Source organism: Homo sapiens, chromosome 11 (assembly GCF_000001405.40).
Source record: "Homo sapiens chromosome 11, GRCh38.p14 Primary Assembly".
NCBI classification, from domain to species: domain Eukaryota; kingdom Metazoa; phylum Chordata; class Mammalia; order Primates; family Hominidae; genus Homo; species Homo sapiens.
The window spans coordinates 61693830-61712026 of NC_000011.10; the positions used below are offsets into that span (position 1 = coordinate 61693830).

General features: G+C 56.9%; 1 protein-coding gene across 5 annotated transcripts in view, besides 9 other annotated features; it reads left to right on the forward strand.

The window, feature by feature from the left end:
* The window catches only part of DAGLA (diacylglycerol lipase alpha), a 66611-nt gene that overhangs the window by 13439 nt on the left and 34975 nt on the right, over positions 1 to 18197 (forward strand). The gene's annotated exons all lie outside the window — the stretch shown is intronic.
* Positions 949 to 1474: an enhancer, noted in NCBI's record as "H3K4me1 hESC enhancer chr11:61462250-61462775 (GRCh37/hg19 assembly coordinates)". NCBI's record gives its function as "activates a minimal SCP1, AML or CMV promoter by ChIP-STARR-seq in primed H9 embryonic stem cells {active_cell/tissue: H9 hESC(primed)}" and the evidence as "EXISTENCE:reporter gene assay evidence [ECO:0000049][PMID:30033119]".
* Positions 1475 to 2001: an enhancer, noted in NCBI's record as "H3K4me1 hESC enhancer chr11:61462776-61463302 (GRCh37/hg19 assembly coordinates)". NCBI's record gives its function as "activates a minimal SCP1, AML or CMV promoter by ChIP-STARR-seq in primed H9 embryonic stem cells {active_cell/tissue: H9 hESC(primed)}" and the evidence as "EXISTENCE:reporter gene assay evidence [ECO:0000049][PMID:30033119]".
* Positions 2002 to 2528: an enhancer, noted in NCBI's record as "H3K4me1 hESC enhancer chr11:61463303-61463829 (GRCh37/hg19 assembly coordinates)". NCBI's record gives its function as "activates a minimal SCP1, AML or CMV promoter by ChIP-STARR-seq in primed H9 embryonic stem cells {active_cell/tissue: H9 hESC(primed)}" and the evidence as "EXISTENCE:reporter gene assay evidence [ECO:0000049][PMID:30033119]".
* Positions 2168 to 2462: an enhancer, noted in NCBI's record as "tiled region #11353; K562 Activating non-DNase unmatched - State 20:ReprD, and HepG2 Activating DNase matched - State 12:CtcfO". NCBI's record gives its function as "activates a minimal TATA promoter and a strong SV40 promoter by Sharpr-MPRA in K562 cells, with weaker activation in HepG2 cells {active_cell/tissue: HepG2 | K562}" and the evidence as "EXISTENCE:reporter gene assay evidence [ECO:0000049][PMID:27701403]".
* Positions 4110 to 4635: an enhancer, noted in NCBI's record as "H3K4me1 hESC enhancer chr11:61465411-61465936 (GRCh37/hg19 assembly coordinates)". NCBI's record gives its function as "activates a minimal SCP1, AML or CMV promoter by ChIP-STARR-seq in primed H9 embryonic stem cells {active_cell/tissue: H9 hESC(primed)}" and the evidence as "EXISTENCE:reporter gene assay evidence [ECO:0000049][PMID:30033119]".
* Positions 4636 to 5162: an enhancer, noted in NCBI's record as "H3K4me1 hESC enhancer chr11:61465937-61466463 (GRCh37/hg19 assembly coordinates)". NCBI's record gives its function as "activates a minimal SCP1, AML or CMV promoter by ChIP-STARR-seq in primed H9 embryonic stem cells {active_cell/tissue: H9 hESC(primed)}" and the evidence as "EXISTENCE:reporter gene assay evidence [ECO:0000049][PMID:30033119]".
* Positions 5689 to 6215: an enhancer, noted in NCBI's record as "H3K4me1 hESC enhancer chr11:61466990-61467516 (GRCh37/hg19 assembly coordinates)". NCBI's record gives its function as "activates a minimal SCP1, AML or CMV promoter by ChIP-STARR-seq in primed H9 embryonic stem cells {active_cell/tissue: H9 hESC(primed)}" and the evidence as "EXISTENCE:reporter gene assay evidence [ECO:0000049][PMID:30033119]".
* Positions 6216 to 6741: an enhancer, noted in NCBI's record as "H3K4me1 hESC enhancer chr11:61467517-61468042 (GRCh37/hg19 assembly coordinates)". NCBI's record gives its function as "activates a minimal SCP1, AML or CMV promoter by ChIP-STARR-seq in primed H9 embryonic stem cells {active_cell/tissue: H9 hESC(primed)}" and the evidence as "EXISTENCE:reporter gene assay evidence [ECO:0000049][PMID:30033119]".
* Positions 7269 to 7794: an enhancer, noted in NCBI's record as "H3K4me1 hESC enhancer chr11:61468570-61469095 (GRCh37/hg19 assembly coordinates)". NCBI's record gives its function as "activates a minimal SCP1, AML or CMV promoter by ChIP-STARR-seq in primed H9 embryonic stem cells {active_cell/tissue: H9 hESC(primed)}" and the evidence as "EXISTENCE:reporter gene assay evidence [ECO:0000049][PMID:30033119]".

Genomic DNA, 18197 nt, shown 5'->3' on the forward strand with positions numbered 1-18197 from the left:
ACACCGCTTCTCCCGCTTTCTTACTTCCTCTCTGCTTTGAGTCTTCCCTGATGATGCCCAGCACTCCTCCCATTTTACATAAGAGGAGAGGGTGGGGAGGGGACAGCTGAGAGGTGGGAAGCCCCCAGCTTGCAAACCTCTGAGGCCAAGTTTAGTTTGGCATCACCTAGGTGACTAAATCTAAATTCCAGAGTCTAGGCACATAGGATATGCTCGGAGAGTAATGGCTGCATGAATGAGGCTGGGAAGGCAGCCAAGGATGGGGCAGAGGCCCAAAGCTGTGTGACCTTGGCACGTCAGCATTCCTCTATGAGCTTAGGGTACTCATCTGTAGGATTCGGGGAATCAGGGAGGCGTGGCATCTGAGTTCCCTGGGCCTCTCCAGCTCTGAACTTCTGGGGACTGTCACATGTCTTCAGTCCTGCTTCCTTGCCTGTTTTTTTCTAAGCAATTTTTGCTGCCCAAGAAGACCTCACCTGTGTGTTCCAGCTACCCAGTGAGTTTGCGCGTAAATGGCTGCTCAGGGCAGGGCTCTCCAGTCAAGGGCTTGAGCAAGGCCACTGCTGTCCCCACAGCCAGGCTTCCATGCTGTGGCAGGAGGAAGGGAGACCAATGCTGGGACATGAGAGCGATCCACCACCCATAGCAGAGGGCCGGGGTGCCTGGGTGTGCTTGGACCTGACATTGGCCTCACGTGCACCCTTTGTGCCTCTGCGCCGGCTGCCTGTCAGTTGTCAGGTGTCTGCCTTTCATCCTTTCCTGGCCAAAGCTGCCTTTATTCAAGTGCCCCCTGCCAGGCTTTGTGTCTGATACCCCATTTCCGGCAGCCCTGAATCTGTGGCCCTTTGAGCTGCTGTTTTCCATCGAGTGGCTCCGTGGGGAGGAAGGGTGGGAGAAATCCATTCAAGTCATTTGTTTTAAAGACATTGAAGTAAACCCATGGGATTCATGCGGTCACATGTTTTCAGTCTTCTTTCAAAGTAATAGTTGGGTTTCTGGATCGCTCGCATTACCCACTTCCCTGCCTGGGAAGAGCGAGAGGCCTGGTCTTCAGGAAGAACCATGGAGAGGGGAAGCCTGGAAGATAAAAGCTGGGGGCCTGGCAAAACCCAAACATGTGCACGTCTCCCCGCCAGTGGAGGGGCTCTGCCTGGGGAGCACCAAGCACCTGTGTTCTGGTGATTCCAGGAAGCAGCCCCACGGGCCCTCTCTGTGTACTCGCAAGCGTGTTTTTCCTAGCCCAGGGAGCCTGCAGAAACTACCTTTGCCAGCAACTGAGAGGCAGGGTTGGGAGCTAAAGTGGTGCCCAGCCTCCCTGCTGGCTGGAATCTGGCCCTGCACAAGGTGCATCTGCCCACAGGCTCTGGGGAACCGGGTGGGAGGAGGGGCAAGAGGAGGGGAGCCAGCTTTGCTTTCCCCGCTCTTTCTGTTCAACCATCAGGCACCTCTAGGAAGCTTTCTCTGTCTGCCTGGGGCTGAGCAGTGGTCCAGGCATCAGTGTCGGAGCTCTGTGCTCACTGACCCGCCCCGGTTTCCTTGTTATTCTGCACTGTGAGCTACTTGAGGATAGGGCTTGGCATCCTCGAGTTCATGTCCCCAGAAGCTCCTGCCTAAGGGCCTGCTGAGTCCAACCCACTCCCACTTCCCAGCGGGGAGGAGCAGTGGGAGCTTCTTGTCTGGGAGCTTTCAGGTCCTAGGTCCACTCTCTGGCCCTGGTCTGAGCCTCCCACCCCGCTCCAGCCAACTGGTCTGGCGAGTTTGTGGGGACCTGGCCACAGGCGCTTCTCCAGGGACAGAATGTCCTGCTGTAAGGAGGCTTTGTGCCTGGCTTTCTGTTCTTCTTGGCTCCTCTTTGCTCCTCCTCTCTCTCTTTCATCCCAGGGAGGGTACTGACTTCTGGCTTAAGTCTGCTCTCTATCTTGCCTTTTTGGGGTCCAGGACAGCATATAGTGGGGGTGCTGGGCTCAGGCAGAGCAGTGGCCTTGCCTGGAAGGAGGGCAGGGGCAGGGCCCTTCAGGAATGAGGTAGGGTGTGCATCCCTGCGTGCCCCGGTGAGACCCTGGAAAGCCAGATACCCAGAGTGTGGATGACAGGCTCCGGGCCAGAGCCCAGGGGCTGTGGTGACCGTTCTCCCACCTCCTTCCCCGCTGATGTTCAAGGGTGAGGGACCAGAGGCCCAAAGACGGCAGCCTGCGGAGGCCTCGCTCCAGGACTCCGCCCCCACTGAGACTCCTCCCTGTCCCCACCACCAGGCTTGCTCTCAGGGAGCAGGAAATGAGAGTGGGGGAGCCTGGGTGTTCCTCTCACCCTCTGCGGGAGGGGCTGGGCACCCCGTTCCGTAGGTGTCAGCGGAACCGTCACCAGCGGTGGGCGCCAGTGCCGGGATTTCCCTGGCTGACTCACCCTCGGCCTGGCTGTGCCTCAGCCTAGGCATGAGTTCTCTGTGAAGGTGTCTGGATAGTGACAGCGATTCCCATGGAGTCCTGGGAGCGGGAGAGTGGGGGTGGAGGTGCCCACTACCCTGGCTGCCTGCCTTCCACTCCCAGTGGACCTGACGCCCAGCCGTCCGTCCGTCAAGGACACCACCCCCACTTCCCAGCGGGGAGGAGCAGTGGGGCCGGGGCGCTCCCTGAAAGATCCCTCCAGGGGCCACATGCCTCCCCTCCCCTTCCCCTGTGGGAGAGGCAGGAGAATAGGGAAGCCATTGATTCCCTCCATCCCTCCCAGAGTAAGAGGCATTTCACAGACTGGGCGACCCGGGGTTGGGGGTGGGGTGGGGTGGGGTGGGGAGCTGTGAGAGGCAGGAAGTGGGGTCAGCACCCGGATCCAAAGACCCCTTGGAGAAAAGGGGAAAACTGTAGTCCCTTCCCCTAGCAAGGTTTGCGTGAAGCACATCTTTGGGCCATCCCAGCCTCCTTGGCAGCGAGCAGGCAGCGGCAGGCACTGTCAGTGGGGTGGAGGTGTTGCAATTACCGTGTGTAGGGGGCTGGGGGAGGACTGAGCAGACAGAAATGTGGAGTGTGCGGCTTGTGAGCTGGCCTGTGGGGGCAGTGGCAGCAGAGCTGCGTGGGGTGGGATGGGAGGTGTGGATCTGGGTGGTTTGCCCCAAGATCCTCACCTTCCTATCGCCAAGGGGAGGGAGGTCACCCATGACCTCCCTGGGATGGCATAGCAGGGGATGGTAGCCTCTGGGGACTGGCCTGCCAGGGCTGAGGGCACAGGGCGACATTCAGGACCCTGGCATGGTTCGGTCTTGGCAGGCAGACTTCTCAGCCCCCTACCTGCTCACCTGGCCAGTGAGAAATGAAGCGGTTTCTGTGCCCCAGTGCCATGGACAGCTCCAGTGACTCTGATGAGGCTGTTGGCTGTGCAAATTCCTTTGTGGGTAGCCCCAGGGTAAGGTGGCCCTGGAAAGGAATGTGGTTGGTAGGCCCAACCCTACCCAGCCTCCTGAGCTTGGCCCGCTGCTGTGGTCAGGAGCATAGAAGCCGGGCCAGGGCGAGGGAAGGCCTGGCCTAAACTGAGATGGGCCCTCCAGGCAAGGCCAGCATTACCTCAGTCCTCGGAAATGCATCGCTCTGCTTGGGGGAATGGCCACACGTGGCTGAGCCCCAGGTGGTGCCAAGGACAGGAGGACAGCAGCCATTCCTGCGCAGGAGCACACCAAGGCCCCAGGAGCCTGGGCTGTGGGGCAGGGTTCCAGGTTCTGCTCCCAGCCTGCTGCTGACCTCGATGTGGCCTGGGGCAGCTGTCTACATCCTTCCTCACCTTCCTCCCTCAAATGAGCATTTGTGACTCAGTGGCTCAGAGGTTCCTTCCCACTCAGATATTCTCCTGTTTTTTTTTATTTTTATTATTTTTTTATTTTTTAGACAGGGTCTTGCTCTGTCACCCAGCCTGGAGTGCCGTGGTACAATCATAGCTCAGTGCACTCACTGCAGCCTCGAATTCCTGGGCTCAAGTGATCCTCCCATCTCAGCCTCCCAAGCAGCTGGGACTACAGGCATGCCCTGCCATGCCCAGCTAATTTCCTCCTGTGATGGCCCTGGGTAGCCAGGTGTCTCTGCAGTGAGGAGCAGTGCCAGGGCCCTTTCTTGGACCCTCCATTTCCTCCTCCCCTGGGAGTCATGGGGCAAAGTGAGATAATGACTGGAAGTTCCCAGTACCAGGTCTTCTGGCAGCTAGTTGGGCTCTCAGTGAGCAATGGCTGGTACTACTGCCCTTATCACCCTTATGTTTACATTATCATCAGCCTTATTGTGGAGTTGCCTTCTCAGAGCCTGTTGGGGGCTCCCTGGAAAAGGCAGTGTGACTCTTGTCCTGGGCTGGCATCCTGGCCCCCAGTCTGCTCAAGAATCAGAAGGTCAGACTGGGCCAGCCAGAGGGTCAGGGCAGGCAGGCAGGGTCCCTGACATCTCTCCTGTGGTGCCTCTGCAGCTTGGCTGAGCTGCAGGCTCCCATCTGCAGAGGGGCGGCCCAGCTCTCTGCAAGTTGGCTGGGAGACCTCAGAATGAGGAGCGCATGTTCTCCAAACATCTTGCTCACAGCAGATGGCAGCCACAACTGCCTTTCTCTCTGCAGTTCCGGTGCACTTCCCTTTCCTTTGCTCACCCCCCTGCTAACTTTGGTTTCTGCTTTTGGAGATGGGGAGGCAGCCTGCAAGCCTCCAGAGCCACTTCTGATAGTGGGTGAAGCTTGGTGCACGTAGCACGGACAGTTTCCAAAGGAAAGGAAACCTCGTACCCCACCTGCTTCCCTGGGGAAGCTCACTCTTACCCTGCTTCCCACATGCCATCTCTGAGTCTCTTTGGCCAAATGTGCCGGCAGCATGATCTGAGAGGAGCAAGGGAGCTGGCCCGGGGGCCTTGTCTGACATTTCTTGAGCAGCTGCTAGGCACCAGGCGTGGTGCTGGGTGCCAAGGACACAGAGATGCAGAGTGTAGCCCTGCCCTCCTGGAGCTCCCAGCCCAGTGGGGAGCCCGGAATGGAGGGGGCACTGATTAGGTCTGCCCTTGGGGGTTGGCGGGCCCTGGCAGCTTCACAGAGGAGGTTGTGTTTAGGCTGAGCTTTGGAACACTGAGGAGTTCCCAGGGGAGCAGGATTGGAAAAGGCCTTTTGGGCAAAGAGAACAGACTGTGCAAGGGCACAGAGGCATGCAGACCGCCTGCAGAGCACGCTCAACTGTGGTGCACAGCAGAGCAGAGAAAGCAGGACATGCTATGCACCCTCAGAAAGACAGGGCCTCCTCTGGCTGCGTATGGGTGGGGGCCAGCCTGAAGCTGAAGCCCTGGATGGGAGCCATTGGGGGAACAGGCCTTTCTCAGTTGGGGGGAATTCTGCCCTGAGTTTGGGGCCAGTAGACGCAGCAGCCCCTGCTGGTAGAATAGAACTGGACCATCCTTCCCTCCTGGCTGGCCCTGCAGCCACAGGCCAGAAGTCTGGTGTTGGCCTTACTGCCCTGGAGCTAAGGCCAGGGGGTCACAGATCAGCCAGGTGAGCATGCCCTGGGAGAGTGTGTGGGCCAGACCTCCATGGCACTGCCTCTCCTACTGCGACCTGCCCTGGCTCCACCCCACACCCACAGGTGGCACTAAGCTGAGCACCCACATATCCAGACCCTCTTCTGTGCCAAATCCTTTCTCAGTGGTCCCACATGGGCCTCATCCCATTTAACCTTCACAAAGGCCATGTGCGGTGGGCATCCCTGGCCCTGAGGTCCTTTGACTTGCTCCAAGTCACCCAGCCAAGGCATGGCCCAGCAGAGACTCCAGGCCTAGGTCCGCCTCACCCTTTGCAGACTCATGCCTTGCCTGTTCTTCCCTGCGCTGCTTCTGTCACCTCACAGTCAGGCCCCTCCGGGGAGTACAGTGGAGGGAAGGCCAAAGCATTCATCCTGGAAGACCCTCCAAATACTGTAGGCAGAGTGCTGGGGACACCAATGGCAGCTGTGGGCAGGGCCACCCGAATGCCACCCCATAGGGCAGCGGGCCCACAGCATGGAGGCCCTCCGTGTTTGCTTTTCCCAGCCCTGCATTAGCTGTGCTGCTCACACCTGGCTGACTGTTTGCCCAAGGATTTCTCCCCTGGAAGGAGGGTGGGGCTGGGGAGGGTGGCAGGCAGGTGGCCGGCTGCCTCTGGGCACTCCGTTTTTCTGCAGACCCACACTGCCTGCGAATGCCACACCACCCTGCATCCCCAAGGCTGCCCCAGCAGTGCCCGGCCTCGCCCGCGCAGAGCATGTGACTTGGCAGTGCCTGGGCCTGGCATGCCTGGCGTGCCAGGGCAGCGGCAGCAGCAGCCGGACTGTCAGTAAGGAGCTGGAGAGGCCCCCAGAGCCCTCCTGTTGGGGCACTGGTCCTGGGTTGTGGGGGTGACGGGATGCATCAGTGAGACTTTTGTATGGCAGGAGGCAGAGGAGCACATAACTGAATCTGGGAGTATTTATGGACACGTCTGCGCCTTCCTTTTCTGCAGCAGCCTGTCTGCAGGCCCTCCTGCAAGGAGAGCCTGTCTTGATTCAACCAGTCCCTGCCCTGACCTTCTCTTCACCCTCTTTCTGATGAGTCAGCCCCAGGAACTTGAACTTGGACTTCTCCAGCCTCTGGGCCAGCCCTGGAGGCGGAAGCCCTGGACCTGCCTCCCCAACACCTGCCCTCCTGAGGGTGTGGCCTGCAAGCGTCCTTTTCTGTCAGATTCAGCTCATGGCCAGTGACTCCTTGAGCCTGTGATCGTGGTCCTCAGGCCAAGGGGAACAGATTAGATAATTAGCTGCTGATGGATCTGGCATCCTAGGGAAGAGGGAGCCCTTTCTCTCCCACAGCTGGGACCCCAAAGAGAGGCTTGCATTAGCCAGGCAAGGAGCCGGGTGCCTCCCTCCCTGCAGTCCTGCACAGCCCCTTCCTTCTCTTGCTGCTGTGGGTATCTGCCTAAGGAGAGCTGGCCCAGCATACCCACCTGGGACACACCCAGAGAGTGCCAGCCTGAACGGCACTGCCAATAGCCCGATCCTCAGGCCTTTCACCCTGCACCTCCCTGCTCCTCCAGCAACGAGACCCCCTGCATGTCACTCACATGTGGCCCCGGGCCAGGCACTTGGCCACCTCACAGTGAGCGATGCTGGGAGGCTGGTGTTCTTGCAATCCCACTGACAGGTGAGGAAATCTGATTTGTGTCATGCTTTCTCCAGCATCGCTCAGATGTTGTTCATCCCCTTTTTCCCGGAACCGGGGCCCAAAGAGGTTGTGACTTGCCCACACCTCTTGAATGGCCAGGCCCCATGTCCAGCCTGGATTCTCTGACACCAAGCCCCATGTGTTTTCCACTGTGCCCTGCAGTAAACAGAAGTGCTAATAAAGAAGCGTGCTAATACATAATTAATCCCACCTCCATCCCTTGGGCCTTTTCTCTCTCAGACGCCCTGAGCACCGCCCAGACGTGATCTCATGTGTCCTACCAAGGCCCCAGAAGAGCAGAGAGGAGGCTGGGCTCTGAGGGGCCATGGGGACTAGGAGCCAGCCTCTCCGCTGCCAGGCCCAGCCCTACTGCATGCCTGCTGCCCGCCTCTCCCTCTGCTCTAGGTAGGGAAGCTGCCGAGGCTCGGGCATGTCTCAGGCACCTGCTGTCTTCCTCTGGTCTCGTGGATTGTACGAACCTGGAGGAGGAAAGCAGCCGGGATTCGATGAGCCCCCATGTGGTGGGGATGTGTGCGCGCAGGGGCCCAAGGCTCTGCTTAAAGGGAAGGAGTATTGCTGAGGCTTGTTCTAGTGCCTTCCTCTAAGGAACCCTCAGTATATCTTGTTTGTTCTCACATTCGAGGGAAGTTGGCAAAGGGCAGTTCTGTGTCACAGGGAAGGGGGTGGATGAGGACCCCGAAAACCTGCCCTTTACCGAGTCTCACCCCCGAGCCTGCTGAGGTCACACAGCGGCAGTCAGTGGGGGGTTAGGTTTTCTTGTTTTGTTTTTAGAGACAGGGTTTTGCTCTGTCACCCAGGCTTCAATGTAGTTTTGCAATCACAGCTCACAGCAGCCTGGAACTCCCCAGCTCAAGTGATCCTCCTGCTTCAGCCTCCTGAGTAGCTAGGACTACAGGCATGTGCCACCATGCCCAGATAAATTTTTTTTTTTTTAATAAAGACAGGTTCCCCGTATGTTGCCCAAACTATTCTCAAACTCCTGGCCTCAAGTAATTCTCCTGCGTCAGCTGCCTGAGTAGCTGGGACTATAAGCATGCACCACCACATCTGGCTAAATTAAAAAAAATTTTTTTTGTAAAAATGGGTTCTTACTAGTTTCGAACTCCTGGCCTCAGTGATCCTCCAGCCTCGGCCTCCCAAAGCATTGGGATTACAGGTGTGAGCCCCCACAGCTAGCCCATGTTAGGTTCTCTCTCTCTTTCTCTCTCTCTCTGTCTTTAACTCTGATAATTACAAGCTGAACATGTTAGGTTTCGAACTTAGTTCTGACAGATTTCAAAAGTGGGGATCATCAAAGCACTGGGCCATGGTGTGCAAATTCCTGGCCTCTCTACCTCCAGGACAATGTTGGGGCCCAGAAGAAAGTGGGTGAGAAAGATGATAGCACCTTAAGGCTCCGAGTCTTCTGTGGGATTATATTCCTGAGCCAGAGGCTGCAGACCCTTATAAACTGAGCATTGGGGGATGGGGGTAAAAGTGGATCCTAGGGAAATTAGAGATCATCTGGTCAACCCCCTCATCCTCCAGATGAAGACACTGAGTCTCTTAGAAGAGAAGTCATTTCCCCAGGTCCTTCCCCTTCTCACTTATAGCCAGGCCATGGCTGAGGTGCCCTCTGGGCCCCCGGTTGGGAGAGGGCTTCAGTCTCCTGGCTGCATCCTGAGAACGTAGCTTTCTGTGCTCTTTCCTGGAGGTGCGCCCTCCCTCCCACAGGATGCTGTACAGAGGTGGACGCAAGTCACACGGCCCCAGATGCATAGGGAGGTAGAGGGAAGCCAGGCTTGTCAATGCTAGGGAGCCCTCCAGTAGCAGGACCACTCACTGCATTACCACAGGCAAATCACCCACAGCCCCTTCCTGCCACAGTTGCCTCATCAGTAAAATGAAGATGCCACATTTCCTCCCTGCCTCGCCCACAGCGTGGTCGTTGGTAGCCAGTGAAGTTGCATATGTGGGCAGTTCAGGATAGGGCTTTGGATCCCAGGCATGGCCAGCAGATGGTGTGGAAAGAGGCCAGGGCTGGGAGTCAGGAGCCCTGGGTTCTGGGTGCAGCTCTGCTGTGGCTCCTACGTTCTCCTGTTTCTGTCCTTCTCAGGCCGTGCTCCGAAATGGTTTCTCTTTCAGGCAGCAGGGACGTGGTGAGCTCCCCCAACCTGCCAAACCTTTACTCAGTGCAGGGAACCTGGCAAGGAAGAAAACAGGCGAGACCCCTCCCCTGAGAAGCCACACCCTGGTGGAGGGAGCCAGATGGTAAACACATTCACCAGAACTTTAGATGGTGAGAAGTGCTGATAGGAAAACTGAGTCCTATGATGGGGGCGCTTGGGGTACCTAAGATTTGGCAGGCAGGTCCCAGGAGGGGATGTTTGAGCTAGGAGCTGAATGACAGGAGGGAGCCAGCCACGCAAAGCTCTGGGGGTGGGGGTGGGGTTGGGGTTCTCTCCAGGCTAGAGGAGGAGTGAGGACAAAGGCGTTCGGCACGCCTGGCCTGTTGCAAGAACAGAGAGAAGGCCAGGGTGCCTGGGAGGCTGGTGAGGGCAGGCAGAGGCCAGGCCACAGGGCTGGCAGGCCAACGTAAGAGGGAGAGGGCTTTCTAAGTGTGATGAACAGTGTAGAATGACTGGAAATGGTGAGTGGGTAGATGGAGGATGGAGGAATGGATGGATGGATGGATGGATGGATGGATGGATGGATGAATGGATTGTAGGTGCAGCTATGGGGTGATCCCTTTTCTCCCCATCATGAGGGTCATAGGCAACACTCCTGTAACAAAAGACAGGTTAACAAGAGGAAAGCATAACAAATGTATTTAATCAAAGTTTTACGTGACATGGGAGCCTTCAGAATGAAGATCCAAAGATCCAGGGAAACTCCATTTTTATGCTTAAGTTTGAGGAGGAATGGGCAACTATGAAGAGCTATGATTGGACACAAAGAGTAAGACCCCATGGGAGCAGACTGAGTGGGGAAACCCAGCAAGGCCTGCTCTCAGATCCTTCTTGGCCTCTCTGTGCTGCATTCCTTCCTTCAGGGTATGGGGCAGGATTCTGAGTGGGGGTCTTATGATCTACTATCAAACAAAGTAGGTCAGAGAATTTCTTTTTTTTTTTTTTTTGAGATGGAGTCTCACTCTGTCACCCAGGCTGGAGTGCAATGGCACGATCTCGGCTCATGGCACCTCTGCCTCCCGGGTTCAACAGATTCTCCTGCCTCAGCCTCCCAAGCAGCTGGGATTACAGGCGCGTGCCACCATGCCCAGCTAATTTTTTATGTTTTTGATAGAGACGGGGTTTCACCATGTTGGCCAGGCTGGTCTCGAACTCCTGACCTCAGGTGATCTGCCTGCCTCAGCCTCCCAAAGTGCTGGGATTACAGGCGTGAGCCACTGTGCCCTGCCCGACCAAAGGATTTCTTTATGGCCAGCTCTTACGCAGAAAGGCAGGAGAAGGCTAATACTTTTAGGTTTTATGGGTGGCTTTAGGGGAAAGGAGTTCTGGTTTCTGTGACCTGCCTTGGGAAAGAGGAATTCTAGTTTCTATGGCTTGCCTCTGGGGAGAGTGAGGGGTGGGGAAGAGAATTCTAGTTTCTGTGGTTTGTGTCGGGAGAGTAAGGGATAGAGACAGGAAGGCAGGAGATGTTCAGAGAAAAGCTTTGCTTCTGAGGCTGTTTGTGAGGCGTTCACTTTGGGGTACCATTTTCTGAGCCCCAACATGTGGTTGGGAGAGTGGATGACTGGCATACAGAGACCCTCTTTCCATTCCCCTCCTGTAGTAGGTTGAATTAACTCTGAGAGCTCCTCTGCGTAGTCCTATTCATGGTCGGGCCCGGATGGCAGGAAGAGTGGGGAGCTGAATGTTCAGGAGAAATGCCTCAAACCCCCTCAAGCACATGATTGGGAACCCTCAGCGGTGGGAGCAGAGCCCACTGACTGCTCCTGAGTGGGACTCCTGGACTGACATCCTGACCTGCCGTGCCCGGGCTCGCCTGAGCTCGGGACTGGGCTGAGCTGAGACTGGGGGGAGGGGGAGGACACAGACTTCACCTGTGTTCACAGAGCCCAGGGCTGACTCCCGGAGCTGTTGCTCTGAGGGTGGGATGGGCAGCCCCAGGCCTCCGTTCTCAAGGCGTTCCTCTGGGATCCAGTGCCCCCTCTGCCCGCCCAATTGCACGGGCCAGACAGCTGGGGTCGTCTTTGACAGCGCCAGTGTTACAGCGAGCAGTAAACATCCTTAATACCTGCCCTGTCTGTCCCCATTTTGTCTGCTGAATTTCCATCTGGGCCACCCACTTCTCTTCACCCTCGCACCCACCTTGGCTTGTCATTCCCAGGCTCAGAGTCCAGGGCCTGGCCCTGCCAGCCTGCCTGCTTTGGCCTCCTCTCTGCTGGCCTGACTCTGGCCTTTTCTCCATCCTCCAGGCCTCCACTGTCCTCACATCCAGGCCCTGCTGCCGAGGGTATCCTCCAGTGCTTGTTCCGCTCTGCTCTCTCCTGTGGTTGCTTCCCTCTGCTAGTCCTTCAGAAACAGCTCCAGCTCCTAGTTCTATAGGCAGCCTCCCCGCCTGAGCACGTGTCAGAGGATTTTTCTTTGTTGTATGTGAAGGTTCACTTGAAGTTTCTTTCCTTCTGGTCTGCAGGCTCCATAAGGGCTGGCACCATGTCGGCTTTTGTCACCATCCACCCAATCCCTGGCACATAGTAGGCACTCTGGTGATTTGTGGATGGATGGAGAATGGCTGCATGCACTAACTTGACTTTAACCAGATTTCACCTGTGTTCACACCACCCAGGGCCCACCCTCAGGGCTGTTTCCAGCCTTTTCTACTCTGAGAGCCTGCCCCTGCCCTAAACCAGGGACTCTGGAACCAAGCCCTGGCCATCTGTGGGTGTTGGTGTCTTCACACCTGCCGAGGCCAGGACCACCTCCTGTCCTTGCTCCTGGGCCAGCCCAGCCTGGGGTTTGAGGCCTGGGCCTGTCTGGGATCTCTGGAGGAGGGAAGGGCTCACTCAGAAGCGTGCTACCAAATGGAAGAATGAAATCGTCAAGGACTCATCTGAGCAACTGCAGAACAGTCTAACAGGGCCCCTTTCGAAGTAGAGTACACCCCAGGGAGGCTTCCAGGGTGGTGACAAGTTTGGAAACCAGGCTGAATCAAGAATCGAGGACAACCGTAGGACTGAGAAGTTGGGGGCGGGGAAGGGACTCAGGATCAAATGGCTTTGGAGCCTTCACCCTTGAGCTGGGCTCCAGAGGGCAGTGGGCATGGAGGAGAATGAATGGCAGCAGGTCTCAGGCTGAGCCAATGGCCCTGGGTGCCATGTCTCTTTCGGGTCTTGGGCTGGCCAGGGCTCTGCTCCCAGGGACCTGGTGTCTGCACCCCACCCATGAACATGTCGAGGTGCAAGTTGGAGGAAGCTCTAGGTTTGGAAGCCATCTCCCTCAGTGTTGGGGTTTTATCTGCTGGCCGAGGGCCCTGCTCGTGGTTGGGGGTGGGCTCTAACCTGTGAGGATTTTCTGGTCGTCAGGCTCTGTCTAAAACAGGCGGGGGGTGCACCCAGGAGGCCTCAGAGCCCATGATTCTAGGTCACCTCCCACAACATCCAGAGACAGGAGTGGTATTTATAGCAGCCGGCGGCCACTGAAGGTGGAGGAGTCAGCATGAGCTGTGACGCAGGCTGACCCCGCCGAGGTCCCCTAGCTCTCGCTGACTCCCTTACCACCACCCCCACCCCAGAGTCTTCCTAGGACTGGGCCTGCTGAGGAAGCAGGCATTATCAGATTGCCTCCCCAAACCCTGGAGGAGACGAGGTGCCACTTTCTGCCTGGCAGGAGCCTTGGCCTCTGCCGGTCTCACCAGGACCTTGTCTGGCTTGACAGCCCCAGCTGGGCATCCCATTAGCACTGCTGGTCTCTCTCAGACGTTGCCGTCAGCTCCTTCACGGAAAGGTTCATCCCCTGGAGTTACAGCAGCTTCACTGACCTCCCCTGGGCCAGCAGGGGTTAGCGGGAGCCTGCCTTTTCCCCACTGCGGATAGTTAGGGGGGCCGAGGGCACCAGCCCCTGGTTGACAGGGATGAAGCCCTGCCAAACTCCCGCCCCCTCCCTGCCGTGTCCTCGTGAAGTGGGAGTGAAGTGCCACTGGGGCCAGAGGGGCTGTGCCGAGCATGTGGCCCCAGCTCCACCTCCCACCACACCCTGAGCAGGTCGGGAAGCAGAGGCCGCAGAAGTGACAGCGTGACAAGGCTGGGCGAGTCTCTTGGGAAGGAAAGTGATGCCAAATTCTGGGGTCAGAGGTCGAGCAGATGGGCACTTACCTACCCAGAACAGAGTGGGTCAGTGGCCTTGCTCAGGCATGGGCAGGCAGAGGCTGGCACTTGTCAGGGGCCTGATGGGGTTCCCCTCATCGTGGAGGCCTGTTCTCCCCTCTCCTTTCCAGTCTCTATGTTGCCCAGAGCCTCCTGGCCTATTCCCCCACAGGCTGGGAGAGAGGCAGATGGAGGCCAGGGTCTTCTTGGGAACTACAGTGTAATGGAGGAGGTGAGGCAGACACACCAGAAGCATGCAGGAAAGTGGGTCACGGGCTTACCTGGTCATTTGTGGGCTGGTTTGCCAGGGCTGGGGCTGAAGGCCAGCTGGGACAGGCACTGAGCAGGCCTCGCAGGCTGTGGAGGCCATGTCGGGGCGGAGTGCCCAAAGCAAGCGGGGCCATCTGGAGAGGAGGAAATGCCTGGGCATGGGGTGCACTCAGTGGCTGAGCAGGTGGAAAGACAGGAGCTGGGAGTGGGCGTGCCCGGCCGGCAGGGACAGAGTCAGACAAGGTGGAGGGTATGGGTGCTGGTGGCAGGGCTGGGCAGGGCGGGGTAGGGGTGTGGTTGGTGGAGAGCTTTATAGCTAATGGTTGGGAGTTTTAATTTTATTTAAAGGGCATTTAGGAGTCATAATAGGCTCTTGAGAAGGGAATTTATTTATGTATTTATTTATTTATTTATTTATTTTATTGTTTTGAGACTGAGTCTTGCTCTATTGCCCAGGCTGGAGTGCAGTGACGCAGTCTCGGCTCATTGCAACCTCTGCCTCCCTGGTTCAAGCGATTCTCCTGCTTTAGCCTCCCAAGTAGCTAGGACTACAGGTGCCCCCCACCATGCCTGGCTAATTTTTGTATTTTTAGTAGAGATGGAGTTTCGCCATGTTGGCCAGGCTGGTCTCGATCTCCTGGCCTCAAGTCATCCGCCCGCTTAGGCCTCCCAAAGTGTTGGGATTACAGGCGTGAGCCACCGCGCCCGACTTGGGGGTTGATTTAATTAAAGCTCTATGTCACCAATCTCCTCCTCTGAGCCAGAGCCTGCTTTCAACACTTTACAACTTTTTTTTTTTTTTGAGATGGAGTCTCACTCTGTCGCCCAGGCTTGAGTGCAGTGGCGTGATTTCGGCGCACTGCAAGCTCTGCCTGCTGGGTTCACACCATTCTCCTGCCTCAGCCTCTCGAGTAGCTGGGACTACAGGCTCCCGCCATCATGCCCAGCTAATTTTTTTTGTATTTTTTAGTAGAGATGGGGTTTCACCGTGTTAGCCAGGATGGTCTCGATCTCCTGACGTCGTGATCCACCCGCCTCGGCCTCCCAAAGTGCTGGGACTACAGGCGTGAGCCACCACGCCCAGCCTCACACTTTACAACTTTTAACTCGCTTTGTCCTCCCAGCCACCCCAAGAGGGAGGCACTGTCATCATCCTCATCCTATTTTATAGACGAGGAGAGGGCTGCGTTGTATATTGAAGGTCACAACTCTGTGGCCGTTTGAGTAAATCAAGGCACTGGGACCAAAGCCGGGTCCAGTCCTGTCCTCCACCCGGCAGCAGGGGCCTTCTGAGCCCCTGCCCCTTCCTGGAGGCCTTGTGCTTGGGTCCAGCTTTGCCCTGCCTGGGGTGATGGGAGGGGATAGGGAGGTCTGAAGGACAGAATAGTCAGCTGTAGGCCCAGGTCTCTAAGCTTCTGGGTCAGTGACTTTTTTCTGTGGCCCCTTTTGCCCTCCTGGCTCAGGCGAGGGGAGGAAATGCTGTGATCATTGTGTGAGCTCAGGCACCTGTATGTAGCCCCCAGGCTCTCTCCTTGGCCATTCTGCAAGTAAAACTCTAAAAGTCCAGACTAGAATGGACCTGAGAGCATATCCTGCTTAGTGGCTTTCAAACTTTGTTTGTTTGTTTGTTTGTTTGTTTTTTGAGACAGAGTCTAGTTCTGTCACCTAGAGCTATTTTGGGAGGCCAAGGCTGGCTGGAGTGCAATGTCGCAATCTTCGCTCACTGCAACCTCCACCTCCCGGTTCAAGCAATTATCCTGCCATAGCCTCCCAAGTAGCTGGGATTACAGGCATGCACCACCACGCCCCGCTAATTTTTTGTAGAGACGGGGTTTCACCATGTTGGCTAGGCTGGTCTCGAACTCCTGACCTCAGGTGATCCAGAGCAGCTGAAAGCTGCTGTGGTTGACATTGCCTGCAAGCCCACTGAAGCCTGCCCACTATGGCCACCTCCCCTCATCTGGGGTCCCTGAGGGCTTCTGGAAACCCACTGAAGAGCACTGAGATCCCCCTCATTGAGCACAGAAGGAGAGGAGGGTGACAGAGGGAGGGGACGGGGCTGCAGCCTGTGTGCCATTGGTGGTGGCAGGTGCCACCTCCCTCTCCAGTCTCTGTGGGGGCAGGGGATGTTGGCCCTTCCTGTCACATACTAGAGCTCTGCAGAACCTCTTCCCCTGGGGAAAGAGCTCCTGTTACGAAGTCACTTGATCCCTGCTTGCTTCCGAGATGCCCGGGGTACAGTCGAAGGGAAACCCAATAGCCCAGTTGGCCAGCCTGTGCCCTAGATGGCCATGCAGCTTAGGGAGGTGGCCCACGAAGCCTCCCCACCTTTGAGCAGCAGGCACCCACACCAGCCAGACCCCGAGGGCCAACCCACAGCCTGAGGAGAGGAGGCAGCAGGACCAGGGCTCAGGGTAGGCTGGGCAAGGGGGCGGGGGCCCCAAGAGGGGAGGCATCAGGCTAGGTGTGCCCACTTAGCATATCATTAACAGCTTCATTAGGGGGCCCCTAATGAAGTGGAAGGTACTAATTCTTCACTGAGGCGTTGCCAGCACCCAGACGGAGTCTCCTCTCAAGGAAGTTCTGAGAAGCCAGAGCGCTGGGATTCGTGCTGGGAGCTGATGAACTGCCTGGCAGGGGGGCCATCTGGGGAGTGAGGTCCCAGCAAGTGGCTCCTAGGAGAGGGGGTGACTCTGGGGGGAGGAGCAGAGGGTGGGGCCAGTGGAAAGCTGGAAGGGCAGATGGGCTTAAAGGGAGGGGGGACCGCTACCTCTCAGGGCATCCTGCGTTTGAGCTGGGAAGGGGCCTGCAATGAGACACCCTGAAACTCAAACATGCAAGCTGATAGATGCGGGGCATCCTGGCAGGATCTCAGGCTTTGGAGTGTTCTAGAGTCTTGTGGCCTTGGGCGAGAACTCTGTGGCTCAAGCTGTCCCAGGGGTGTTGGGTCCCCTCTCCCTGGGTGGTTGTGGATTAAAGGAGGCAGTGCCAGTGCGGCCGTGCTGGGCTCCTAGGAGTTGGAGCTCTCCCTTTCCAAGAAGGCAAGTCAGAGGATTATGCAGGCTGGAAGGGTGAGGGCAGGTGTGGGTCAGCCTGCTCACCTGTCTGTTTGGGAAGATTGACTTAGATCGCGGAGAGTTATTGCCCCTGCCATGCAAGGTGAGGTAAAGGTTCTGCGCACACTGGGGAGACATGGTTACTAAATCACAATGATGGCAGCTCCTGTTTTCTAAGAGCTGAGCACTTTATGTGCGTTATTTCGTTAACTCCTCATGACTCACTCACTATGAAGTGAGTACCTTCATTATTCCATCTTACAGATGAGGAGACTGACGCTCAGTGAAGTGACAGTCATAGACAACTAGAAGTGATGGAACTAAGATTCAAATTCGGGCTGCCCTGCTCTGGGGCCAGAAGGCAGGCCTCGGTCAGCTCATTGGATGGCCACCCCCTCCAAGTCGATGCCTTTGAGAGAGTCGCGTTCCCGGGAGAGTGGGGTAAAGACGTGTTAGGGCATGAGGGGACTGACCAAGAAGACCACCGGGGCAGGTAGAAAGGACGAAAACCACAGACACCCTTCCCCACAGACAGGCAGGAGAAAACAGCCTGGTGCCACCCAGTGTGGGGCGGTGTCGGCCTTTGCGTGAGGGCTTGGAGATCCAGGCTGCCCGGCCGCACCCATCACAGAGGCCAGCAGAACCCGCCTGTCTGGGCCTCTCCAGAGGGGATGTGGACGTGTGGGACAAGGGCTTGTTCTGAGTTTCAGAAAAATGAATAATCTCCAAGGAAGAATCCAGAAGCCAGACCTGGTCTGGCCAGAGCCTGGGGGACTCCTTCCACTGTTGGAAAACATTGTCGGAGCACAGGACTGAGTGGGCTCTGATGTGAATCCCCCTGGGAAGAGAGGTCAGAGGAAGGCTGGGGGCAGGAGGAGGGCCCAGCCTGGTCGCCAGGGAAGGGTGCTGCTGCCCTCCTGGCCCTCACTTCCCGCTCCCCAGCAGCCAGCCATCTTTCCAAAATAACCAGCAGGAAACGAAAGGCCTCAATTGATTCCCAGGGAGTTGGCTGGTGTCAGTAGCAGGGCTGGTGGCAGATGGCAAATTCTGCTCATTGTGGATGAGTAGAAAATAATTAGCGTGAGAACGAGTAGCTGGAGCCTTGGTAATAAATGGAGCCCTGGTGAAGCCTTCTGGGGAGAGGCCTGGAGCACAGGCCCTGCAACCTCAGGCCTGGCTCTGCCGCTGAAGAGCTGAGTGGCCTTGGGCAACTTATTTAGCCTCTCTGGGCCTCCATTTCTTCATCCATAATACAGGGCATAAGAGGTTGTTAAAAGGATTACATTAAAGGAGGTAATTTTTGTGAACTGCTTGTTAAAGTAACCAGCATGTAGTAAATGCTATATAAGAGTTTGTTTTTAAATAAACACGATC